At 42.5% G+C, this 27,464-nt stretch overlaps 1 protein-coding gene and 1 long non-coding RNA gene across 6 annotated transcripts in view; one reads left to right on the plus strand and one right to left on the minus strand.

The window, feature by feature from the left end:
- The window catches only part of ITPR1 (inositol 1,4,5-trisphosphate receptor type 1), a 354,159-nt gene that overhangs the window by 84,282 nt on the left and 242,413 nt on the right, over nucleotides 1–27,464 (plus strand).
- On the minus strand, nucleotides 4,291–6,589 carry LOC105376933 (uncharacterized). 2 transcript variants are annotated; one of them, XR_007095798.1, is made up of 2 exons: nucleotides 5,942–6,589; nucleotides 4,291–5,295 (listed from the first exon to the last, which is right to left on the minus strand). It is a non-coding gene; the product is annotated as an uncharacterized LOC105376933 (long non-coding RNA). The 2 variants fall into 2 exon arrangements; XR_007095799.1 differs by having other exon boundaries at nucleotides 6,296–6,414.

Raw genomic sequence — 27,464 nt, forward strand, 5'->3', positions numbered from 1 at the left:
ATAACTACAATAATACCTTTGCTGTTGAAATTTGTCCAGAAAAACAACTTTATGATGGAAAGTCGTGTCCTCTGTAACCTCTAATTCTTTTGTACGTCACTGAAAAAAGGATAACATTTTGGATAAAACAAAATTTCTTGACTTCGCCAACTGTCACAAAATAGCAGAACAGACTGTAATTACAAGTGTGACAAACGTGATAAAGGAAATGAGGCTAGGGCTGTCTAGATTGGGGTCCTCTAACTGTAGTTATTTGGATAGAGGCCATATTGGTTTCTTGTTCTGCTCTCCCCCACCTCAATCTTACATTACTGCATAAGTTGGCATAGGCTGGCACAGAAAATCTTGAAGGATAGTTGCATTTTTACCTGAAGCTCATCCAGCAACCAGTGCCAGTGAAACTGTGCATTCTATACTCATCTTGAAATATTAGCCCTTCCAGCTCATAGTTTGTTTATAGCAAGCAAAAAGAGAAAAAGGATTACTTTCAGATTGCTATAACGCTTGACACCATTGGGCTTTTTAAAGGTTGTAAGTGAATAAATTGAGCTCTTGTGTAGGCATGTTTCTTTTTAAAAATGGTTTGATATGAGGTTAAAAACTAAATTATGTAAGATTCTATAGAAAACATTTTTTTTCTGCCACTTTTTTTATTTTTTGGTTTCTAGAGTGATCTTTTTCCTCTCTTTTCTTTTGAGTGACAGTATCAGAGAATGCAAAAATCATAGGAGGGAGCGGTTCGGTTTGACCTGATGGATTAATTGTGTATAGGCCTCTGCATTCAAATGAGGAGTTGTGTGTCTGACAACAAAGTTGCTATTCCAAGTTGCTTTGCCAGTGAGAATTTTTATTGTGTGTGTGTGTGTGTGCATATACATATATATAGTGTGTGTGCCAGTGAGAATTGTGGAGCTCATAATGTCCCACAGCCAGAAGGGGCTTTAGTGCTTAGCCTGACCAGCTGGTCCTGTGTTCTGTGATGAGCTTCTTCAGTATTTGAGTTACCGTTGTTCATAGAGCCACGTGCTAAGTGCTCCTCCAACCAACGTTTGTGTATGAGATTTAAACGTGGTTGGCGCGCTCATGATTGCCATACTGAGTTTCCAAGGAACAATGAAGGAGGGCTAGATGACTGCACCTCTGAAAGTTGTTCTTATTGTTGATTTTTAATTTATTTTGGTTTTATCTTGTGTGAACACACAACCCTTACACTGGTCCATGTAGACACATAGCAAACGAAGTAAACAGTGAGCTTCACGTTGTCATTGAGAGAGGGGGCCCCACAGGGTCAAGGCATCTTTTGTTTTTTTATCTTGTCGTTCTGAGGCTTCCAAAATACTGAGTAGAACAAAAATTCCATTGACCCATGTGATATTGCTGATTTTGCTTCCAGGCGAGGCTGTTGTGACGTGAACATTCTGATACAAAGAAGCACCATTTGGGTATTGACTTAACGTAGCAGGCTCAGGGTCACCTTACCTGGGTCTCAGTTCCGGCCCCATAGCTCATCAGCTGTGTGACATTGAGAAGATTACTTAACCTCTTCCAGCTGCAATTTCTTCTTCTAAAAGATGTGTCGTTGTGATGATGAAACGATATTGTCCAGTACATGCATAGTACCTAGAACGTTGTTACTGCTACATTGTAGCAATACGATTGAGCATTTGCTGATCCCTGTAAATATTAGTTATGTAATTTTGATGATAATTTCTTATTAATATCAATAAATATTTCTAAATACTTGTTACTAAATGGCTGAATATGTATATATGTATAACATATATTATACAGCTTAAACATTGAAAATAATAGATTAGAGGAAGTATGATATAGATTCTGTAACCTGATCAAGAGCTATCTTCATGGAAATTAATTTTCTACCTGCAGGTTAAATAACTCTGAAATTGGTTTCTGGCTTTGCTTAGAGAAAGGAAATATTGGTTAATCAATCACAAGTTGAGTGTATCCATCTTTGGTGGTTTCCCTTTAAACAAAAAGCCTGTTACGGATCTTGCTTCCTTTCCGTAGGAAAGTTCATTTTAGAAAGTATATTGAGTCAGGGTTTTTGTTTATTTTAATGATAGAGAATTGAAAATTGGCATTATCAGATGGCATGATGGGTTCTTTCTGGTGCTGTTTGAATCAGGGTTAGACAGAGACTTTGTGGGACTGTTCTCCTTCATTGCATTTTCTTTATAGTTCCATCCCCCAAAGATTCCAGGCATATTATATCTGTATTGCACAATTAGATCTAACTGTATTTTGAATGTTAAATTCAGCCTTAAAAAAAACCTTTATTAGCCAGGTGCGGTGGCTCACGCCTGTAATCCCAGCACTTTGGGAGGCCGAGACGGGTGGATCACGAAGTCAGGAGATCGAGACCATCCTGGCTAACACGGTGAAACCCTGTCTCTACTAAAAATACAAAAAATTAGCTGGGCGTAGTGGCAGGAGCCTGTAGTCCCAGCTACCCGGGAGGCTGAGGCAGGAGAATGGCGTGAACCCGGGAGGCGGAGCTTGCAGTGAGCCGAGATCATGCCACTCCACTCCATCCTGGGCAACAGAGCCAGACTCCGTCTCAAAAAAAAACCAAAAAACCTTTATTATTATTTTTTAAAGCATATATGGTTCACGTGCCCTTGATGGAGGATATTAACATTAAGTATTCAGGAGTGAGGAGGAAGGTTAAGTTTTAGGTTCGATAAGGATTGTCTGGCTTTTGGTTCAAACAAGTGGTTTTTAACTCATCCAGCCATTCCTTATGACCCACATTACCCTCTCAAAGTGGGGGCAGGACAGGAGAACCCCACAGATCCCCCACCTTTTGTTTTGTAAGAACTGCCAAGCCAATTGTTCAAATTAGCCTAGTCATCTAATCTCCTAATGTCCCTGGCAGGAGAACAAGTGATACGGGGAGGTGACAGATGAACAGCAGAGAGCTTGCTGTGCCTGTGTCCTGCAGCTCACTGGTAAAGCGTGTCAAGGATGTGGCCTTTGCCTTGCCGTCCCAGGTGTTGTTCATAGTCCTCCACTACTGTCCTTACCCCCAACCTCTTGCAGGGCCAGAATTTCTGTTGCTGAGCCCATTACAACAGATCCTCAGTGAGCAAGCCGCAGAGGCTGTACTGAGCATGCCTAGTCCTTCTCCCAAACCTGCCAGTCACTGAATGGGGCCGCCTCTTGGGGAAGAGGGATACAGTGGGCACATAGGGTGAGTGGCGCCCTTGAGCAGATTCCGACAGTAAGAGTAACGTCAGGCAGGAGGAGTGAACGTTTCCATCTCGGAGCAGCCAATATTTCTTCTGTAAATACCAATCACGTTAGGTGCCAGAGCAGTTAACTAACCTCTCTACCTCTGAACTCCATAACTCATAAGACTTAATTGTGTTGACCTGGGATATAAACCTGTCCCGACTCCTCCACATACCAAACTCAAACGTTTCAGAAGCTTAAAATACCGCTTGTTTCACATACTGATAAAAAATTCCAAGTAATTCCCCCAAGGATCATTTAGAAGGTTCCCAAATCCACCCCGACAGCCCAGCCACCTTGGAGAGTGTTTTTGCCGAGGCAGCATCAGCAGGGTAGAGGAGGACCAGGCAAGGTCAGCACCTTCTGTGCTACAGAGAGGCCCATGTGAGTCTTGTCCTCTTCAGAAGGCGGTCTGCATGATGAAACACATCTGCAGTGATGCTGTGGTGCTATGCTAGTCTCTGTCCTGACTTCACTCCCTGGTGTAGGGTTAAAAACTCCCAGGAAAGGCTTCTTTGTTCTTCCCAGACCAGTATGGTGTATGGTGGTTGCTTTTACATCAGTTTTAGGTGGGTTGCCATATTCTCCACGAGCCTCTTTTAGGAATATTTGGGATGGTAGTGGTAATCTATATTGGGAGCCATCTCAACTCAGTATTAAATGAGTCTGGGACAACAAGCAACACCCACCCCATTACAAGTTTTATATGAAGCAAACATCTATTTTTGCTTTGTGCAGACTCCACTGTATAAAGTGCTAAAAATAACCAAATGCTCAGAAACCATTTGTGATGCAAAAATGACTGTAGGGGGAACCGTGTTGTTTTCTGCCCTGGTTATAACTAAATAGTGTACGGCAGGAATTGTGCCCAAGAACTAGTTTTGCAAGGTCATTCTGAGGCTTTTCTGGTGTTGGAGGGACCTACAGTTGTCCCTGTGGACTCAAAATGTCATCTTGCCCACACAAACTGTTAAAATAATTTAGACAGGCTTTTTTCTTTTTTATTGCTTAAAAGAAATAGTCTGTTTGGGTCTTGAAGATTTTGTGAGTTTTATTTTTTTTTAGGATTTTTTTTTTTTAAAAAGGAAAATGGAAATAAACAGATCACAGGTTAGGGTAACCAGAAGACAGGGTTGTTACGCCTTTAAAAATTTTAGCACATTTCCTAATGCTGCTGTCATTTCTTAAGTCATGCTATGTGTGAGACTTGAATACTCGGTGCTCCCGTACTGGCCTCAGTGTTGTTACCAAGAAGTGCATTTGCCAGTCTTATCAAACTGGCATCAGAAATCAAGCTCTGAGCTCAGAGGTTAGATACCGCTTATTTTTATCAAGTAGGCAATTTTCCTCTCCCCTTAGCATATGCGCTTTGGGTTCTAGACTTGTTCGAACATGCCAAAGAAACCGCTGGTTAATTTAATGCCTAGAGGCCATGTTCCTACTGTGTCTGTAGGAAAATGTCCTCCCCCACCCCCGCCACCCCAGCCTGAGTATGTTGAGGAGCCAGTTGACAAAATTGTTAGCATGCTGTGAAGGGACGGATGGTCACCTCCTCTTCTCCCCACGCGTCCATGTGTATGCACTCAGCCTGTTCTCCGGTGTGGGTGTGAAGATGGACATAGTCTTGTGTGCTTCTCTATTCTGCTGAGATTTGTGTTATCAGCTCCACACTTCAAGGACAAAAAAAGATCCAAGATGATGAGTGGTTGACCATGTTGCATGAAAAGGAAGTGGATAGAGAGGATTCATTCTGGAACAGACTAGCAATTGACTGGACAACGTATTCTTTCTAAGCCTCTTAACCCTTTGTATACATCTCTTTATGGCTGTGAAAGTGTCTTACCATCTGTTAGATTTTTTCTGGGAGATGATTAGCTTTCAGAAACCTAAATGACTCAAGGGAAGTGAAAGCAATACTAGACTTTCTAGAAAAATGTATGGAATGTGTTCTCCTTCTTCCAGCTCTGTGCGTGCTTCAGGGAAGCTGCTGCCTCTGCTTTAGTATGTCTGTGCTCTTTGGGCTGGTGGCACGTTGTCTGAGACCTGAAGAAGACAGTGGTGAAATCTAAATCAGAACCCTAGGCAGATTTTCCTTCTTTCTTTCTTTTCACCCACCAGCCTTTACTTTAGCAATCTTCCTCTCCAATATTTATTTAAAATTTTCTCAGCATGTACAAACTCTTGGCATATAGGAGAAGAAGAAGATTTCTAAAAAATCAAGCCATTTCTCCTATAAGGGAGATCTGCTACAACAGGAAATTGGATTTGGACCTTCTTTGGAAGCAAAAAAATACAGCTAAATAAACGTTTAAATGGAAGTGGTCTCATAAATATTTTCAGTTTCAAAAATGGAAATTCATTGTGTCACTTTATGATAATATCCATGTTATATCTGAACTTCATGCTCTAAAACTCTACAAATGTAGACTTGGGAAAAAAAAGTTAGCGTTTTTTCACTAACTTTTTTTTTTCTCACTAATCATAGCATGGACACCCGTTCCAGTTTGTGTTATGTGTTTCACAGGGAATGTTTAGCAGCTTCGTGGGTTTGAAACTTCCTGAAGGTTGTTGCAGGGGCTGGGATGAGTGCGTTACAGGCCTCTCCTTGGCAAAATGTTTTTCCGTTTGTAGTTTCTCAGCATTTTCTCTTCCCCTGTGCAATCCAGGCTAGTGGAATTGAGATACTCACATTTCTATCATCCAGCTGGCTAGTTTTAGGAAAGATACAGCTTGAGCCTGTTCCTCCTTGGCTTTTAGCTTTCACTTGCCTTATTTGGTAAAGCTGCGGGGTTCGTTATTCCTGGAAAGGGCTGTTTCACCAGTTTCAAGGACTATTTCCCACTTCCATCTAGTTCTGCGCTGGGAACTTGAGCTTGGTTGCAGCTCTGGGGTATCTGATTTGAACTGGGGCAGTTGCAGGATGGGGGTACCCTGAAGAATTCTCACCACCCATGGCTGGTGGTGATGTACCCCTCACTAATGAGATGTTTACACATCAGATACATAGTTCAATGTAAACTTCCCTTTGAAACTAGGTACTCACAAAAGATGCTGGCTTTTTTGCTTCGTCCAAGGGCCTGGAATGGGCATGGCTTTCTCGCTTTTCCCAGGGTCTTGGTATTTAGATTGCCTTTTCCCCAATTATCCTTTTCATTTCTGCATTCTTTCTATCTCTTTGGGGGCTTTTTCCTATCCCTTATAAGAAACACATAATTTTGCTCACGTTAAATTTGCACATCCTAAGTTTTAATGAAGCTCACAGTTTATTATTATCTTCAGTACCTCCTCTGATGTTGTTTATAGGGAAACTTATTCTTCTCATGTTCATTATGTATGAAGTCATGTTCTCAGCACCCACCTCACCCCCTTCTTGTCCCCCAAACCAACTGGAATCCAGAATCCTGACAACTTATCCTTCTCTGGTTCCTAAGTAGCATTGTTGTAAAAATAATTAGCCTAAGTTTTAAAGAGATGAGAAGATGTGGCTTATTCCTTGGAGCTTATATTCGTTTTGTGTCTTAGCCTAAAAACGAAGTTTACAGGCCCCCCAGTCCTCAGAAAGATAGTTATATTCTTTCTGATGAAAGGTGGGAACGGGGAAGCGGGGAGGAGAGGAGAGGAGAGGAAGTGAGGTTGATGTAAGTGAATCCTTCTCTCTTTGCCCAGAGAGTTAGTGGGTTTTTTTTTTTTTGTGAAAGGAAGTTGAATTTATTAAGAGTTTGGAGGGAGGGGGCCGAAGGAAACGTTTTTCCCTCCCAGAATGCGGAGGCTGCCACTCAGTGGGAGAATTAGTGAAGCTCCGGAACTCACTTTCATTTTCAAGAACCTGTTGGTGGAGGCTTTTTTTGTCTTTGGCTTTGCTTCTCCCTTCCAGCCCTGCCTGTCACAGAAAGACCCCCGTTCATCTCCCTTGCCCTGCAGTTCATTTCTGGAGTGTAGGTGTGAAGTTAAGGGACTGTCCCCATCATAGGAGATGAAGCAAATGAAGAGACAAAATGAAGCAAATGAAGAGGCAAATACAAGACATCTAGAAATCGACTGGGTGGAGGGAGTAAAGGAGAAAAACAGAAGGGTAGCTTTTGAATGTGAAACACCAGAATGAAAACTGACTTGCCCACTGTCAGAGTGTATTACTGGTCTACCCACGTCAGTGAGAGCTGGTGAGACCCACCCTCCGAGGGTCCTAACTGTGTGCGGCTGTTCCCTGCCCGGGCAGTTGTGTTGTCATCTTGATACTCAGTTCAGTCCTATACTCTTCTGGGTATTTGTTTCCTTTTAGAAAATAGCTAGCAAATTTGTGAAAATTCAAAGCAATATGCTAGGTATGTTATGAACCTATTTGCCTAATGCTGGGCCAAGCATAGAAACCCAACCAATTACCTCTCTATATAGAATATACAGAATGTTTTGATTTAACTGCCTTAAGTCATTCTGCACTAGAGAGTTCTGTCTCTCAGTTGGATTTAGTTACCTGTCCTTATCAGTCCTGGTACACAAAACTCTTTGTCATACTAATTATGATTACTACTACTACTAACATGCACTTTTATTTTTTATCTTATTTATTTATTTTGAGACAGAGTCTCACTCTGTCACCCAGGCTGGAGTGCAGTGGTACGATCCCAGCTCACTGCAAACTCCACCTCCCAGGTTCAAGCAGTTCTCCTGTCTCAGCCTCCCAAGTAGCTAGGATTACAGGTGTGCACCACCACGCCCGGCTAATTTTTGTATTTTTAGTAGAGACGGCATTTCAGCATGTTGGCCAGGCTGGTCTCGAACTCCTGACCTCAAGTGATCTACCTGCCTCAGCCTCCCAAAGTGCTAGGATTACAGGCATGAGCCACCGCACCCAGCCTAACATGCACTTTTTTTTTTAACTGTGTAATTCTTTTTTCTTTTATATTATACTTTAAGTTCTGGGTTACATGTGCAGAACGTGCAGTTTTGTTACATAGGTATTCACGTGCCATGGTGGCTTGCTGCACCCATCAACCTGTTACCTTCATTAGATATTTCTCCTAATGTTACCCCTCCCCTAGCCCCCCAGCCCCCTACAGGCCCCAGCATGTGATGATCCCCTCCTTGTGTCCATGTGTTCTCATTGTTCAATTCCCACTTATGAGTGAGAACATGTAGTGTTTGGTTTTCTGTCCTTGTGATAGTTTGCTGAGAATGATGGTTTCCAGCTTCATCCATATCCCTACAAAGGACATGAACTCATCTTTTTATGGCTGCATAGTATTCCATGGTGTATATGTGCCACATTTTCTTAATCCAGTCTATCACTGATGGACATTTGAGTTGGTTCCAAGTCTTTGCTATTGTGAATAGTGCCGCAATAAACATACATGGTAACATGCACTTTTAATACTTTTGTTGCACCTGTTCTGTTCTGAAAGCTTTACCCGTTTCTACCATACAGCAACACCATGAGGCTGGTGCTAGTCATATCCTTGGTTTACTATTGAGGAAAACTGAGGCTTAGAGGATTAACATGCCCACAGCAACATGGTTAGCTAGAAGTGTTAACCCTGGTAGTCTGACTCTAGAAACGGCCTAACTGCTTTGCTATGCTGCTTCTTACTGCTATTTAAGTCACTGTCTGGCGGCAAGTAGCCTTGAGTGCTTTTTTTTTTTTTTTTTTTTGAGACAAGGTCTTGCTCTGTCACCCAGGCTGGAGTGTAGTGGCACGATCATGGCTCCCTGCAGCTTTGACCTCCCTGGCTCAAGCCATCCTCCCACCTCAGCTTCCTGAGTAGCTGGGACTGCAGGCACTGTCCCCATGCCCAGCTAATTTTTTAATTTTCTGGAGAGATGAGGTCTCCCTGTGTTGCCCAGGCTGGATTTTTTTTTTTTTTTTAATACAACTAGTCTCTGGAGCTCGTGGTACAAGGACTACCTAGATTAAATGCATATTGGTTTGTTTGGTGATCACTGTTTCTTGCATGAGGCCAGATCTTTGCCCTGCTTTGTTGCTATGCTCTCTTTTAAACTTCCCTTCACTTGTTACCTTATTGTGGTTTTCTCTGACTCTTGTTCATACACCTCTTAGGTAGGTCTCCGACCTGCGGGTTCTCTAAGGCATTGATTCCCAAGCTTGATTGTACTGGGAATCACCCGGGAGATTCAAAAAATTATATTCCCTGGCTCCATCCTTGCAGTTGGTATAAGACTCGGGAATAAATATTTTTTACATTTCCCTGGAGATTTCGACGACCGGCTTGCTTTGCATTAAGGCAGAGTTTCTCAAACTTTGCAGGTGTACTGTGTGATCTTATTAAAATGCAGATTCCGAAACAGCCTGCTATCTGATCTGCACTGAGGCCCAAGGGCCTGCATTTCTAGCAAGCACCCAGTGCTGCTGATGCTGCTGGTTCACACTTCTCATGGTTTTTTTTTTTTTTTTTTTTGAGTCAGAATCTTGGTCTGTTGCCCAGGCTGGAGTGCAGTGGGGCAATCTTGGCTTACTGCAACCTCCACCTCCCGGGTTCAAGCAATTCTGCCTCAGCCTCCCCAGTAGCTGGGACTACAGGTGCATGCCACCATGCCCCGCTAATTTTTGTGTTTTTAGTAGAGACAGGGTTTCACCACGTTGGCCAGGATGGTCTCAAACTCCTGAGCACAGGTGATCTGTCTGCCTTGGCCTCCCAAAGTACTGGGATTACAGGCATGAGCCACCCTGCCCGGCCCACACTTCTCATTTTGAGTAGCTGGGGTCTGGACTGTGCATTTTGACTGTACTCTCTTACCCTTTCAGTCTATTTAGTGGATTGTGTCTCACACTGGCTGGAATTTGTGGCTTCCAACAACCTACTGGAGGTAATTGCCCACAGGATAAAGTGAGAAAAAGGAGCAAAATGGGAAGATACTGAAAGAGAAACTGTCTCAATTTGGGAAGGACTTGTTAAAAAGACAAGCATTGCTAATTAGTAGCTTAGTATCTAATCTTTGTCACTGAAGGCTGCAAATCATGCTTCCTGGAGTCTTCTTAAAGACAGCTTCTGCAGAGGTTTTAACACCTCTCATCTGACTTTTGTTAAATAGCCTGCTGGAATCCAAAATAGAAGCTGTGTAGGGAGATTCTCCCTAAGCATATTTACTGCCAAGCCTGCTCTGTTAAGACTGTATTGATTTTCCCCCCTCTTGGTATGAAATTAGTCATATAAAATCACAAAGTCCTCAAAGACATTTGGTTCAATCTGACACTTGATGCTTAGCTGTCCCCTTAAGCACCCCCACTGAGGGATCCCTAGACCTTGCTGCATATCAGAATCATTAAGAGGTTTAAGAAATGATTTTCTATTATATAAGAAGTAGATGCATACAGTCTTCTCATATTCTTGCTGCAAAGGCTTGTTCCTTGTTCTCTTCCTGACCCTAGAGCTAGCTATTACCAGAATGCTCTGTAACTTTGCAGACTTTTTTCTTTGAGTGTACTTACGTATGTGCATACCTGTTTCTTTTTTTTTTTTAAAGCCTGTTAGTGGGGTGTATTTTAATATTACACTGGGTTTTTAAACGTGTATTCAAAGCAGCTGTGAAGTCATTTTCTCACTTGGCTTTGCAGACACAGTTCTCTGCTGGTTCTCCAGAACTTCCTCTGCTGTTCCTTCTGGATCTCCCTGACTCTCTCTTCCGCTTTCTCACCTCTAAATGCTGGGCTGGTCCCGGGCTTCGGCCTTGGCTCTCATCTCTATCTGTGTTCACTCTCTAGATGATCTCATCCACTCCTTGAGGTTAAATGTGCTGATGACTAACAGATTTGTTTCTCCAGTGCCCATCTGTCTCCCAAGAGCTAAATGTGCATCTCCAACTTTCTAAGTGACACTTCCACTTGAATGGACTTCACAGGCATACTAGACATAATTTGTCTCCAACTGGCAGTGTCTCCCTGCCTCAAACCTGTTCCATCCCTGGTCTTCCCCATCGTGATGTATAGTGACTGTTTTGGCTTGTAGTGTCTTGATTTCTCTCCCTCCCTCACACGTCACATCTTAGCCATCTGAGTCCAGTTTTCTAGGCCTTCAGTTATAGTCCCAATTTGCCTACTTCTCACCACCTAGTCTACAGCCCTCATTCTGCTCTAAACCGTCATTGTGCTACCCAGACCATTGTTTCCCAGACTTCTTTGACTGCACTTCATAGCAAGAAATTTATTTCAGCTGGGCATGGTGGCGTGCACCTGTGCTCCCAGCTACTTGGGAGGGTGAGGCAGAGGGTTGCTTGAGCTCAGGAGTTTGAGATCAGCCTGGGCAACATAGTGAAATGCTGTCTCATTGTGTCTCAAAAAAAATACACACATATATGTGTATATAAAACTGCAACCTAGGAGACATATTCATATATATAAGCAAAAGGTTCACAAAGCAGTACTTACCTTTACTGTTTGCAGTATAGTCTGATATTTCATTCTCTTATTTCGTGAAAAAACAAATGGTGGTTGAGGCCCATTTCATGACCCAGTTTCAGTCGTGATCTGCAGCTTGAAAAACACTGGTTTGGATCCTTGCTATTTAAGGTGATCTGTGGAGCCAGCAACATTGACATTAACTGGGAGCTTTTTAGAAATGCAAATCTCAACCCCTCTCCTGGCCCCCTGAATCATAACATGCATTGGAGGAGATGCCCAGGTAGTTTGCAGGCAATTGCAGTGTGAGTGTCACTAGTCTGGAATGACTGCTGTGGCCTTCTAGTAGTGGATCTCCTTGTTTCCAGTCCTGATGGCTCACAGTCTTTCTACCATGGCTGGAGCTGGAGTGGTCCTTATAAAGCCATTTGGGTCATCCTGTGCCTGCTTTAACCAGCCTCCCACCTCATGTGGAACAGAATCAAGCCAGGTTCTCAACCCTGGATGACTGCTCATTAAGATTACCCAGAAGAATTAAAAAAAAAAATGCAAAACGAACAAAACAAAACCTCATGCCTGGGATACATCACAGACAAATTGGATCAGAATCTCTGGGTATGCGGCCAGGATTGAGAACAGCTGTATGAGAAGACCAGGCCCCTGCCTGCCTCTGGAAGTGGGCCTATCTCGGGCTCTCCTGGTTCTTTCAGCTCTAACCATACTGGCTGCTTTCCTGTTCCCTGCACACAGCAAACTCATTTCTGCCCCAGAGCCTTTGTGCTTAATGTTCCTCCTGCCTAGAATTCTCTCTTGCAGGACTCATGCCCTCACTTGTTTCACGCCTCTGCACAGATGCCACCACCCCTGAGAGACCTCTGTGACCTTCCTGTCTTACCAACTTATCCCTCTAGCTGCTTCCCCCCTTTGTGTCTCCTCTTCGTCTTGCTTTTTTTTTTTTTTTTTTTTTGTCTTCATAGCAGGTACTACTCTCAACACTGTATGTCGTGTTACTTCCTTACTTATTTGCTCTTTATCTTTCTCTGTAGAATTTAAGTTGCATGAGGACAGAGACCTTATCTGTCTTGTTGAACACTGTATTCCTGATACCTGGAACAGTGTCTGGCCATAAGCAGATGATGAATAGTATTTATGATGAATGAGAGTAGTCAGTGGTTGACTGCATTATGGTGTTTCTGGCTTTTTATAGCTGAGTTGGCCCTGGTTGGACAGAAGCAAGAATGCTTCATCCCTGGTAAACGGTCAGTCTGGTCTTCTCCATGTATTTTGTTCTTCTTAATAATAATAATAATTTTTTAATTATAATTACTATTTTATTAATTATAATAATAATTACTAATTATTATTATTACAGACTGGGACTCACTGTGTTGCCCAGGCTGACCTTGAACTCCTGAGCTCAAGCGATCCTCTTGAATAGCTGGGACTACAGGCATGTGCCAGCATGCCCAGCTCAACTTTGGTTTTTGTGTCTTTTTTTTAAATTTTAGGTTTGGGGGTACATGTGAAGCATGGGAAGATTTGTCACATAGACAAACACGTGTCACGGGGGTTTGTTGTACATATTATTACATTACCCAGGTATTAAGCTCAGTACCCAATAGTTATCCTTTCTGCCCCTCTCTCTCCTTCCACCCTCCCCCTCCACAAGTAGACTCTGGTGTCTGTTGTTTCCTTGTGTTCATAAGTTCTTATCATTTAGCTCCCACTTATAAGTGAGAACATGCAGTATTTGGTTGTCTGTTCCTGCATTAGTTTGCTAAGGATGATAGCCTCCAGCTCCATTCGTGTTCCCGCAAAAGACATGATCTCATTCTTTTTTATGGCTGCATAGTATTCCATGGTGTAGATTTACTACATTTTCTTTATCCAATCTGTCATTGATGGGCATTTAGGTTAATTCCATGCCTTTGCTATTGTGAATAGTGCTTCAGTGAACATAATTGTGCATGTGTATTTATGGTAGAATACTTTATATTCCTCTGGGTGTATACTCAGTCATGGGATTGCTGGGTGGAATGGTAGTTCTGCTTTTAGCTCTTTGAGGAATCACCCTACTGCTTTCCACAATGGTTGAACTAATTTACACTCCCACCAACAGTGTGTAAGGGTTCCCTTTTCTCCACAACGTTGCCAGCATCTGTTGTTTTTTGACTTTTTAATAATAGCTGTTCTGACTGGTGTGAGATGGTATCTCATTGAGGTTTTGATCTGCATTTCTCTAATGATCAGTGATATTGAGCTTTTCTTCATATGCTTGTTGCCTGGTTCAACTTTGATTCAGGAAAGCATTTCCTTGTTTCTTCCTAAGGGAGGAATGTAAAGAGGAAAAATAAAAAATGGCAGGATAGCCTGACTATTTTCCTGAAGAAACATGACTGTCTTCAAATTATCAGATCTTTGCCTTGAATTGGTTTTGCTTTTTTGATAGGGTGTGGAAGACTTTTCATTTACCCTGATCAAAAACATTTTTAAAGAGAAGCTTATGATCACTTGTAGTAGCTAAGATTGATATCAGAATGTGAAATATCAGAGGTGATCCTGGCTTGGATTTGGAGATGCTGTATTGAACATAATGGCTCACTTCAACGTGGCTGATTTTTTTTTTAAGTCTTCATTTGGAGCAGTGTCAGTTTAACAGTCAGATCTGACATAACTGTATTACATAATCAGACTTTTCAAGGATACAGATTGAAAGGGCTTTTCAGTTAGGTCTTAGAACTTCTTTTATTTTGTATCCTTTGAGATCAGTCTTCCTGCTTTTGATCTTTTGCCCTTGATCCATGTTTCTTCAGTAGGTTAATTCCGAGCTGGGGTTCCGAGGAATTCTTCAGTTTAAAAGAGAACACACAATAACGTCTTTGTAATAACAAAATTGAGTGAGGTCAGGGAACTACGTCAGTCCTGTTTGAGAAGTATCACTAATGCCTACCTGCCATACCTGGGAATGCTAGTAAGTTGCTTGAGCAGTAGTGATTCAGGTGCGAGATTCAGTCCCGCATACAAACTGACTGTCTTGTTTTATGTTTTGTGTTTAATAGCATTTGGTCTCTCTTATGCACCTTGTCTTTTAGTTCTAACACATTGATGGTATTCATTGTACGTAAACATTTGCATCAAATTTTGCTCATGAAGTATAAAATATACGGTCTTTCATCTATCGTGAGACCATTTTTTCTCTTTAGGCAGAGTGATTCCTCTTGTTTTCCCTTTGTGGCCTTTGGATTAATCATGGTCCTCTAGGGTACAGACACCTGAAAATTCAGCTCATACAGGAATTAGTTGGCTCCCATAACTGGCTGGAGCTCGGTGGTTGAAGTGATGCTGTCATGTCTCCAGGGGCTGGACTGTCTGACACCCTCTCCATGTTTCATCTTTGCTTCCCTCTAGGTGGACTCCATTGTCAGGCAGGTCCTCCCTCTTAATGTCCACACCATCGTCTGCAACTCTGGATTTGCAAGCTCTTTTTAGCTGTGTTAGTGGAAGGTGAATGTCTTTGCCCTGTTTCTCAGCTGGTTAAATCCCACCAACTCTGAGGCAGTGAGGTCTTAGCACTTAGATGCCTCTTTGACCAGGGCTGGGTCACAGGCCCACCTTTGGAGCAAGGAGATTGAGTGAATTCCATCCAAATACAGGGACTCTGAGTGGTGGGAGACTGGTTCCCTTAGGAAATATGAGAAGTATTATTGGAACACTGCGGGAGTGGTCTTAGCTGGGCACACCAAGACCAACTGGCTTCTCTGGTGTAATAATTGAAAGTGACCCATCGTCTGATAACTGAGGACCAGCTGTGTGCTAGAGGAGAACTTGCTCGAAGTCAGGAGATTTCAGCTCTTCTTTTTGTGTGTGTGATTTAGAAATCTAAATACATTTTCACTAACTCATTGAACAACACGATGCGGTGTGGGGTTGAAGGAGATTTTAGGTCTTTTGATCATTGCTATGGCACTTGGAACTGTCTAACAATACCTGTTGTTGGTACTTTACCTGTTGGTTTCATGGGTGATATTTATTCTGAAGTTTCGTGAACTTAGACATGCCATTTCCCTTTGCTTAGTAACTGTTGTATTTGTAAAAAGGAGGCTTAGACAAGGTCACATTTAGCTCTAAAACTTTATGCTGTCATTTAGGCTACTCCTTCTATTTTCAAGAGGAAATATGAGACCTCAAGAAGGCGAGAGATCAGAATTGGTTGCATTTTATAGTTTCTCTAAGAGCAGAATCTGGGTTGCATTTTATAGTTTGTCTAAGGGCTAAAATTACAACGTGAACACAAGAAAGCTGGTGACATATTTTTTAGAAGCCTCAAATTTGATTCAGAAACATAAACTGATAATTATATGTGAAGTTCAGATGCTAATGCCTTGGGAGAATACAAAAATAAGAGGGGCCATGCTGTTCTTTGGACATATAGAATGCTATAAAAGATAAAAGGCAACCGTGTTTGTTATAGTTCACTTATAAGACATGATCAGATAAATGCTAAACAGACTTGTATAATATACCAGGAGAGACCAGTGCAAAAGAAACATGAGACATGTTATCAAAGACACACAGGATATGGTGGGAGAAGAAGCTGGAAATGTGAATTGAGGCCTATTGATTGCTGGGTTAAGGAGCTCAGGCCTTTATTCTTGGCAATGAGAGCCTTTGATGATTTCTGGTTGGGAAAGGAGATGATCAACAGTGTTTCTGAAAGCCATTCCTACTGGAGAGCTGAGATAATTGGAGCCAGGGAGGCTACCAGGAGAATCTATGTGGGAGATATGATATGGGAAATGCGGGGCTTGAACCTGTGGCAGAGGCAGCAAGAATGGTGGAGGTGGCCATAGGTAGAAGGTAGACTTCGGGCTTGTTCATTGGCTTGGGGAGATACAAGTGAGAGAGAGAAGTTGAAGGAGTCTCCATCCTTTCCCACCTTCACCAGGGACTCACTGGTACAGAAGAACCAAAGCTTCAGTAACCCAGTTTTAGGTCAGGATAATAGGAGGCATGATTTGTATTCCAGAGTTCCTCACGCAATCGGGCTGAAGTCATCCTCCTTAGAACTTTGCCTAAAATCCCATCGTGATGGGCTTTTCCCCCTTCCCTGTCTTGCTTCCTTTACCTCCTTACAGGTTTATCCTGGGAGCACTTCCTTAATAAATCACTTGTATGTGAATCACTTGTTCCAGGGTCCCCTGAACCAACCCAAGATAAAGATTCGTTTTTATCTTAGGTAAATCAAATCCAGGTCTGGTGTGGCAGCTGCGTGATCGATGAGAGCCAAATCCCTTGTCTCTACTCTCCCATTCTTAGTGTGTGCCTATTCTTAGGTTGTCTCTTTATCGTAAGATGGCTACGCTAGCTTCAGCCATTGTGTTCACATTCCAGGAAGCAGAAGAGAGTAAAGGGCAAAAGGATGCACCTACCCATTGAGGGAGCCTCCTTTAAAACCCTTGGCCAACCCAGCCCTCCACCTCCCACCCCCACCATGGCCGTCTCAGTCATGGATATCTGCAAGTGAGACCGGGAAATGTGTGGCAGGAGTGTTTTAATCTGGGCCCGTTGTCATCTCCTATAATAAAGTGGTCGATTGGTAAGGAAGAAAGGTGGAATGAGTACTGAGTATGCAGCAGTCTCTGCCACAAAAGTTAAAACTGAAATTGAGAGTGTAGATCGTATCACCCTGGATGAGGAGGGGGAAGTATAGCAAAGTGGTTAAGGGTATAGGTTCTGGATTTAGACCTGGTTTTCAAACCCTTCCTTTGTGCTCATGTTTGCCTGATGTATGACTTGGGCCAATTACTAAGCCTCACTTTTCCCTTCTGAAAAATAAGGTTGGTGAAAATAGCTCAAAAGGTTGGCATGGGAATTTGCTGAGTCAAGTATCATAATGAAACGTGTATTAGTCTGTTTTTGCATTGCTATAAAGAAATACCTGAGACTGGGTAGTTTATTAGAAAAGAGGTTTAATTAGCTCATGGTTCTGCAGACATATAGGAAGCATGATGCTGGCATCTGCTCGGCTTCTGGGGAGGCTTCAGGAAACTTTGTCATGGTGGAAGGCAAAGGGAGTGCAGACTCATCTTACATGGCCAGAGTGGGAGCGAGAGAGAGAGTGGTGAGGTGCCACACACTTTTAAACAGCCAGATCTCGTGAGAACTCACTGTCACAATAACGGCACTAAGGTGATGGTGCGAAGCCATTCATGAAGGATCCACCCCTGTGATCCAATCACTTTCCACCAGGTCTCACCTCCAACACTGGGAATTACAATTCCACATGAGATTTGGGTGGAGGTGCAGATCCAAACTATATCAAAACTCTTAGACTCAGCATAAGACCTGGTATATATTATAGTTAATTTTGGCCATTTTATGTATGAGGAGCTGGGGTGTCGGCTTAGAGATGTTTTTAAGAGCAGAGAGTGAACAGGCCTACAAGGACAGCAAGGCCAAGAGTAGGAGCTGGGGGTTGCAGGGAGGTGGATGCTTTGAGGGGAGGTGATGAAGAAGGTCGCATGGCACCAAGACTGGAGAGGATGAGGTCTGAGAAGTCAGTTGACTTTAGCATTTAGGTCACTGATGACCTTTGAGAGCATTGTGGTAGCATGGCAGTGGCGGAATGTTCTTAAGAAATCAGAAAGGTCAGGTATGGCTCTCATGTCGTAGATGAAGAACTATGGTGACTGTATGTTTTTCTTTGAAACTGGCCTAAGTGCAGCCTGCCCTGCCACTCCCACAACCACTCAACTGATGAAGGTGATACCAGAAATGAAATCAGATCCCCTGATTTATTGCAGGGGGTGGGGGCGTTTGCTGTGAATACCAGCAGCGGTTACAGAATTGTGACACGTCCAAATTACAGACAAATGCTCTTCTCAAAACTTCTCTGCACTTTGGAAAGCTCTGCATTTCACCGAGCTTAAGTTGCTATCTATGTATCTATACTTCAGGTAAGTTTCTACAGCGAAATTTCCTGATGAGCCAAGAATTAAGCAAAAGTTCCTTAGAGTTTATTGTAAACGGTCTGACTTTATGGTAAAAAGCCAAGGCTTTTTACCATAAGATAAACTCTTTCCATGAGTTTTTCTTTCCTGCTTTTAAAGTATTAGTTTTTAAAAATGTTTATGTCTACTCTGTATTTATCATCTTTGGTTCCAAATCGCAGACTTATTAGCTGAGTGAAGTAATAGTCTGTTCACTATATACAATGGTGTTTGTTGCTTTACTAATCACTTATTTAAAGCTAGCACGGTTGGAACATGGGGTTTATTTGTGTTTCAAAAGGCTTAGCAACTGGTGGTCACAGATGGGTTTTTAGTTATCTGAACCAGGTTGTTATTGTAATAAAGGTATAAAGTGTCACCTTTTTGGTTTGAGGTCATATGGGTTATATGACTGCCTCTGCTAGAATCCTTTTAATTCTGGTAGATGGAACTGTCTTTCCTCCCTGAAATCTTAGCCTCTTGTGATCAGAGCTGCTCGTTAGCTGCTGGTCTTCCCACAGTCACCTTTCATTTGTATACCCTGGCAGTGTTTAAACCCCAACTCCTCCATGCTCATTATATAGGGCAAGCCAGATGTCACTCCCTGGGGGAATAGGAATCTGGTTGTAATTCACATGGAAACAAGTTGACTTTATATTGTTTCTCTGGGTCAGTAAAAGTACGTCACCTTTTAGAGGCTGATAGTTTTAGTGTGTTGATATGTTACCAGGGGTTTGCCGCTTACTGTATGTTCAGCAAAAGAGAGTTAGGATTGTAGAGCATTGAGTGAGTACATTTGCTCAGAGAGGACTGCGTGAGAAAAGGAACTATGTGGCCTGTCTGAAGGGGTCTTCTTATTCGCCTCCAGCTTCTTGCTGCCATGCAGAAATATGAGCCCCGTGGTGCCAAATCCTGGTTCATTTGTTTTGTTTGTTTTTTAAGGAAAAGATGTGGAGGTGGATTTGAATGTGAAATTGCCCTCTTTTAAAAATAGTGGCAATTAATACCAGCCTGTTTAAAACATTGTGTAGGCCAGATAGAATGTTGTCTGTGAGCTGGATTTGGCTTGAAGTCAACCAGCTGGCAAATTTTGCTTAAGGTAATGTTTTTTAAATGAAGCTACTATTAGTCCAGTAAATATATCCAGATGTGCAGAACAGCAAGTAAGGTTTTATGGGGATTTGGGTGTATGTAGATGATGAAGACGTCATTTGAGCCCCCACGGAGACTGTAGTGTGGTAAGGAAATGACACAGTAATCCGAGGCCGTATAGAAGTATCCTAAGAGAGGGAAGACAAAAGGGTGTTGGAATTTCCCAAGTTGGAGAGATGACTTCTGGCTGGCATCACCGAGGGAAAGGGGCATTTGGGCTCCTCTGTGAAAGAGATGAGGCAAGGGGGCACATTCTAGGCACCAGGGAGTGTGCATCAAATTGTAGAAATGAGAGAGAAAGCAAGCTGTGTTTTGGAAGTGGTCAGTGACCCGGTTTGGCTAGAGGTAAAGTCCAGGTTAACTTTGATCTGGAAACTGCAACCTGGTGTGATATGTGATCCTATTTAGCCATTGTTCATTGCAGGTAACCTCCTAGCTTGGCAGACCATTCCTGGCTGTCTGGCCAGAGTTTAAAGTATACAGAGTCACAGTGGCCTTCTCACTAGTGTTCATGCCTGAACTTGGTTTTGCAAACATCTGTGGAGACCAATCCCATGTACTAGGAGGCAGATAGTATTAGAAGACTCAGATTCAGAGAGCTAGGTTGATAAACCATCCTTCAGCTTTCCTGCGGTGTGATTCTGTGACTGAGTGCCTGCTGAGTCTTCCGTTTCCTGCGTCTTATTGGTTGGCACATGGCATGGGCCTTTAGCACCTATGCAGGGTCTATGGGGCCTTGCATGGCTAGAACTTTAGTGCTTCCTCTCAGTTAAAATTTGTACCATCCTTCCCCTCTCCCCTGGTTGAAAGGAAGCAAATCCTCCTCTGTGACCTGTCATTGGCTTCTGTGCATGTCATATGGTAGTAATCTCTTTAACCAGGATGTGTGATACTTGAGTGTAGCAAGGAGGTCCTCTCCTCACTTAGGGGAGACCCTTGTTTGAACAGAGAATTAAAAAATAAAGGCAGGCTGGGTGCAGTGGCTCACGCCTATAATCTCAGCACTTTGGGAGAATGAAGTGGGTGAATCAGTTGAGCCCAGAAGTTTGAGACCAGCCTGGGCAATGCAGTGAGACCCCGTCTCTACAAAAAAATACAAAAATTAGCTGGGTGTGGTGGTGGGTGCCTGTGATCCCAGCTACTCGGTGGGGCCGAGACAGGAGGATTGCTTGAGCTCGGGAGGTTGAGGTTGCAGTGAGCCATGATCACACCACTGCACTTCAGCCTGGGAGATGGAGCTAGACCCTGTCTTAAAAAAAATGCAGAAAAGTTTTAGGAAATATGGTTATCACTTCTGCCTTTAAGATGTTCATAAGTGGCTGAGTTATATATTAAAGGCTCTGTGAAGTCTTGCAATAAAGAAATTGTCCCAACTTTGTCCCAATGTAGTTTTCCAAAATTATACCTAAAAATTTGGGCTCTAAATCAGAGTGTTTCAATTCAGGTGCAATTTTATGTCATTTCCTGAACTTCTCTGAATCTCACTTTACTCTGAGAACATCGTCAAACCCACTGGGTGTCCCGGTACCTCTCACAGTGGCCATATCCACTATTTTTCCTCTTTTGTACAGTGTGGCTTCCAGAACTAAAGGTCATATTCTAGGTGTGGTCTATAGTGCACAGGATCATTACTGATGAGCTTTTTTTTTTTTTTCATCTTTTCTGGCTATCACCTAATTTTGGGAAAAACCTATTGAAATGTTCTCACTTGGAGACTAATATTGAGAATACTTACTGAGGGTTTCCTATGGGTAAAATATTTCATTTTTACTACAGTCCTCAGATGGGGATCCTTTATTGTTAGTCCCGGTTTGCTGATATGGATATGGGATCTCAGAGAGGTTGAATATGTTGCCTGCGGTCACAGAGCTAGTAACCACAGAGCCTGTGTTCATGGCCTTCACTCTCTGTAGCTGCAAATCAGCAGCTCATAGGCTGACTCCTGCTCACGCTTGTTTTTTGTTTAACTTGCACAGTGTTTTAAAATCTGAGTTAATTGGTTTACCCTTACAGTTTGGGAGATTTTACATAAAAAACAAATTTCTGGCTTTTGGGGGAAAATGCAGAAAATCTAGCCACAGTGGATTAGCATTGCCAGATGACAACAAGTGTCAGAAACTAAGTAAAGCTTTCTTCTTTTGAGGGGAGAAGGACTTTTACAGTCTTGCCAACATCCTACTTCCTTTGGTCCTCACCTTACAGTTCTTGAGTGATGGCTGTAGGCAGTTGGGTTTGTGATGCTGTACTTGATTGATGAAAACTGGGAACAAGAGAAGCAGTGAACTCTAAACGTGAAAATGGTTGAATGAAGGACCTTGGTTGCAGCAAGCCTTCCCCTACTCCGACAGTGGCTGCTGTTTTTGCAGCTGAGTTCTGCAGTGTGTTGGACTTGACTTCCCTGATACCAGCAGGAGGCACATGTGTGATATACTCTCCACTGGATCAGTCTTGGAGTGGACAGTGTCAGGTTGGAGTGCCAATATGTAGGGTGTTGGATATAGTTGTCAGTTTTGACGTATGTATGAAACCGTGAAACTCACCACAGGATAATGAAGATCTTAGTCTCTCCCAGAAGTCTCCTCCTGCCCATTGGTTGTCCCTACTCCCTCCTTCCTACACTGGTACATGCCCCCAGGAAGCCTGATGTGCTTTATCGCTGTTATTTGCATTTCCTAGCATTGTATGTACAAATGGAATTGTACAGCAAGTCTTCTCTTTTGCCCGAGCTCTTTCACATAGCATAAGTATGTTACAATACATTTGTGTTGTATGCATCAATAGTTTATTTAGTCTTTTTGTCTTTTTTAAAAATTTTACCTCTGTGGCATTGTTTCATTGCATACCACAGTTTCCACTCAAGGCAGATTTTTGGACATGCTGGCCCCCAGTTTCTGGTACCCACAGCCATTCATTCTACACATCCCTCAAGTTCCCTTGTGAATTAGAACTGGTGTTGAGGATTTCTGTGGTCGTGTATTGATTCTGTGATTCTAAGGAGATTCCGAGCCCCAGGTTTTGTTGTGGGTGGTCTTGCTGGGGATACTGTGGATGGGCTCTTTGAGGGCCCACAGGCTGGAGCTCGGAAAGGGTACCATCTCTACGGACCTTCCTGTTTTGTGTGTGTGTGTGTGCGTGTTTGTGTGTGTGTCTGTGTCTGTTTTGAGAAGAATTTAAATAGCTTTAATTTTTCGCCTCTAAATTGAGAACATTTTCCTGGCATTTGTCAAATATATGTGAATGTTTGTGTCTTCTACGTAAAATGATAGTCCGTGGACTGTTTAGTAACTGTAATGTGGGGATTATGGTGTGAAGGGTGGCATTTTGGGAATGTGAAGTTGATGGTAGACATATTCCTTGGGAGGTCAGGATTGGGTCACATGAGCTAATTTCCTGTCGCTCTAAAATTGATTCACTCCCCACCCCCAACAAGGGCGACTCCCACAGAATGTCAGTAGCCATCAGACAATGCAGGAATGGAGAAATAAAAATATGAGCACTATTTAATTTGTTGATTGTGTGGGGACAACTCATGACAGCACACCATGATTTTTGTGTTGTTCAGAGATATTCATTCATTGTTAAGTTGCATTTCTTCCTGGAGTAAATTAATTCTTTTCAGAAAGTAAATATTTTCTGAGTAACTAATTGAGGAATTCTGTTCTTCTTTTGTTAGTGGTGGTGGGCTGTGGAGAGGGTTTGGTAGACATGAATCACCTGTTAGATGTAAAGGGGAAGGAAACCCATAATTTATGGTCAATTGATTTTTCAACATAGATATCAGAACAATTAAATGGGGAAAAATATTCTTTTTTTTTTTTTTTTTGGCACTGGGGCAACTGGATTTCCACATGCAAAAAAGTAAAGTTGAGCCAGGCTCATTGGCTCCTGCCTGTAATCCCAGTACTTTGGGAGGCCAAGGTGGGAGAATCACTTGAGCCCAGGAGTTCGAACCCAGCCTGGGCAACATGGTGAAACCCTATGTGTGCAAAAAATACAAAAATTAGCCAGGCATGGTTGCATACACCTGTAGTCCCAGCTACTCGGGAGGCTGAGGTGGGAGGATCACCTGAGCCCAGGAGGTCGAGGCTGCACTGCACTGTAGCCTGGGCAATGGAGTGAGACCCTGTCTCAAAAAAAAAAAAAAAAGTGTTGAACACCTACCTCACACTGTATGCAAAAGTTAACTCAAAATGAATCAAAGCTCTAAATATAAGAGCTAAAACTATACACCTCCTAGAAGAAAACATAGGTGTAAATCTTCATGGTCCTGAATTGGGTGACAGGTTCTTAATATGACACCAACAGCATAAGCAATAAAAGAAAATTAGATAAATTGCACTTCGTCAAAATTAAAACCTTTCCTGCTTCAAAGGATACTGTCTAGTGAAGAGACAACTCATAGAAAAGTAGACAATACTTTCAATTTTTTTTATGATATGGGACCAGTATATAGAGTATATAAAGACTTCTCACAGCTCAATAGTAAAAGACAAATAGCCCAATTTAAAAATAGGAAAAAGATTTGAATAGACGTTTCTCCAAAGAAAACATATAAATGGCTAATAAGCACATGCAGAAATGTTCAGTAGCATTAGTCATTAGGGAAATGCAAATCAAAATCACAGTGAGAAATCCCTAGGATGGCTAGAGTAAAAAAGATGTACAATAATAAGCAGTGGTGAGAATGTGGAGAAATGGCAACTCTCACACATTGCTGGCAGGATTGAAAATGACACAACCACTTTGTAAAAGTTAGGCAATTCCTCAAAAGGTTAAACATAGAGTTACTATATGATTCAGCAGTTTCACTCCTTAGGGATATACCCAAATGAATTGAAAACATACGTCTACATAAAAACTTGTACACGAGCCAGGTGCACCTATTTACACCTACAATTTCAGCACTTTGGGAGGCCAAGGTGGGTGGATTGCTTGGGCCCAGGAGTTTGAGACTAGCCTAGGCAACATGGCAAAACCCTGTCTCTGCTAACAACAACAACAACAAAAAATTAGCCAGGCATGGTGGTGTGCACCTGTAGTCCCAGCTATTCAGGAGACTGAGGTGGGAGAATGACCCGGGCCTAGGAGGTCAAGGCTGCAGTGAGCTGACATTGCACCATTGCACTCTAGCCTGGGTAATGGGAGTGAGACCCTCTCAGAAAAAAAAAAAAAAAAAAAAACTTGTACATAAACATTTATAGCAACATTATTCATCGTAGCTAAAAAGTAGAAACAACTCAAATGTCCATCAGCTAATAAGTGGATTTTAAAAAGGGTTGTAGACACACAGTGGAATATTATTCAGTCATAAAAAGGAATGAAGTGCCAGTACCTGCTACAACATGCATGAACCTTGCAAACCTCGTGCTAAGTGAAAGAAGCCTGTCACAAAAAGGCTACCTATTTTGTGATTCTATTTATGTAAAATACCGAGAATTCATAGAGACAGACACTAGATAACTGGGCTCTTGAGAGAAGGGGAGAATGGGGAGTGACTATTAATGGGTATAGGATGTTTTTGTGGGGGATAATGCAAATGTTCTGGAATTCGATAGTGGTGGTGGTACCAATCTGTGGATTTTCTAAAAACTGCTGAGTTGTACTCTGAATTTTGTTGGATGTGAACAATATCTCAATAAAAATGACTACATGTAAAAAATGTTCAAGCTTACTGGTAACAAAATATATGCAGATGAAACAACAGGCATCAAATAAAATAATAAAACATCCACTTTTGACTACAAAACAAGTGAAAAAAGTGATAAAGGGGAAGGAAATAAGGCAAGACTTGCTTTTTAGATGACAGGCATTTTTTATTTTGTTTTTTTTACAGTCAGCTATAATTTTTAAAATTATTTCTTTATTTTTAAAATTTCAACTTTTATTTTAGATTCATGAGGCACATGTGCAGGTTTATTACATGAGTATATTGCATGATGCTGAGGTTTGGGGTATGAATGATCACCCAGGTTGTGAGCATAGCACCCAATAGGTAGTTTTTCAGCCCTCACTCCCTGGTCCATATGTACCACATTTTCTTTTCTTTTCTTTTTTATTTTTGGTTTTGTTTTTGTTTTTGAGACAGAGTCTCCTTCTGTCACCCAGGCTGGAGTGCAGTGGTGCAATCTCGGCTCACTGCAACCTCCACCTCCTGGGTTCAAGCAATTCTCCTGCCTCAGCCTCCTGAGTAGCTGGGACTACAGGGGCGCGCCACCACACCTAGCTAATTTTTGTGTTTTTAGTAGAGACAGGGTTTCACCCTGTTGGACAGGATGGTCTTGATTTCCTGACCTCGTGTTCCACCCGCCTTGGCCTCCAAAAGTGCTGGGATTACAGGTGTGATGTACCACATTTTCTTTCACCAGTCCACTGTTGACAGGGCACCTGGGTCAATTCCATGTCTTTGCTATTGTGAACAGCACTGTGATGAACGTACGAGTGCGTGTGTCTTTTTGGTAGAACGATTTGTTTTCCTTTGGGTAATACGCAGTAATGGCATTGCTGGGTTGAGTGATAGTTCTGTTTTAAGTTCTTTGAGAAATCTCCAAACTGCTGAACTAATTTACATTTCTACCAATAGTGTATAAGTGTTTCCTTTTCTCTGCAACCTCTCTAACATCTGTCTTCTTTTTAAATTTTTTAATAGCTATTCTGACTGATGTGAGATGGAGATGGTATCTCATTGTAGTTTTGATTTGCATTTCTTCAGTGATTAGTGATGTTGAGCGTTTTTTCCTGTGTTGGTTGACCATCTGTAAGTCTTCCTTTGAGAAGGGCTGTACATTGGGTGAGTTTTCAGATGTGTCTGAGGATATGTTTTAGGTGAGAGGCACATACATTTAACAGAGGTTATGGAAGACTTCTGTGCTGGCAAGGCTCTTTGGAACACAGTGATGAGTAAGATGCTGGACCTATGCTTGTGGGCTTTCGTGGAGTTGTGGAGGTGGAAGGGAGGTCAGGTAGGCAGGATGGAAGTCAGGAGTCTCTGCTGAGGCACCAAGATGTAAAGCATGTCCCATTCCTGAGGATGGGTCAAGGTATTTATAAAGGTGTTAGCTGAAAAAGTTACAACTGTATTACTTGGAGAACTGTCTATGTGTCTCCTTTGCTTAGGGAGGGATGGGGTGTTCAATTCTGATGTGGGATCAGCGAGGAGATGAGCTATCTGGCTGCAATGACAAGCAATGTAAAGGAGCATTTCAGCTAATTTGGCATCAGTTTGCCTGAGAAAGGAATTCATGACTCTTTCATGGACACGCATGGGCCGTGTGTGAATGAACTGGTGTGGGGTCATCTTAGCTGGGAAGGGGCCCTGCGCAGAAGAGAACCTAGGGGTGGAGCTTAGGATCTGCAGTAGTTGGGGAGGACCTGTGACTACCAGAATAGAGATCTTTCCCCCTGAAGAGGGAATGCAGAGAGAGGCCTCTAGCAATGGCAGGCTTATGTCCAAAATGCCTATGGAAATGCCAGCAAGAACAGATGGACAGCATCGTGAGTCCTCAGATATGATGCCCGGGGTAGGACACAACCCCTGCATGGAGTGTTCCAGCTGGAATCTAACCATGAGAAGACATCAGACAAGCCCCAAATGAGTAGCATGCTATTTTTTTTTGGGTGGGGGGGATGGAGTCTTGTTCTGTCGCCTAGGCTGAAGTGCGGTGACACAATCTTGGCTCACTGCAACCTCCGCCTCCCAGGCTCAAGCAATTCTCCTGTCTCAGCCT

The sequence above is a fragment of the Homo sapiens genome, chromosome 3, assembly GCF_000001405.40.
Source record: "Homo sapiens chromosome 3, GRCh38.p14 Primary Assembly".
In the NCBI taxonomy this organism is placed as follows: domain Eukaryota; kingdom Metazoa; phylum Chordata; class Mammalia; order Primates; family Hominidae; genus Homo; species Homo sapiens.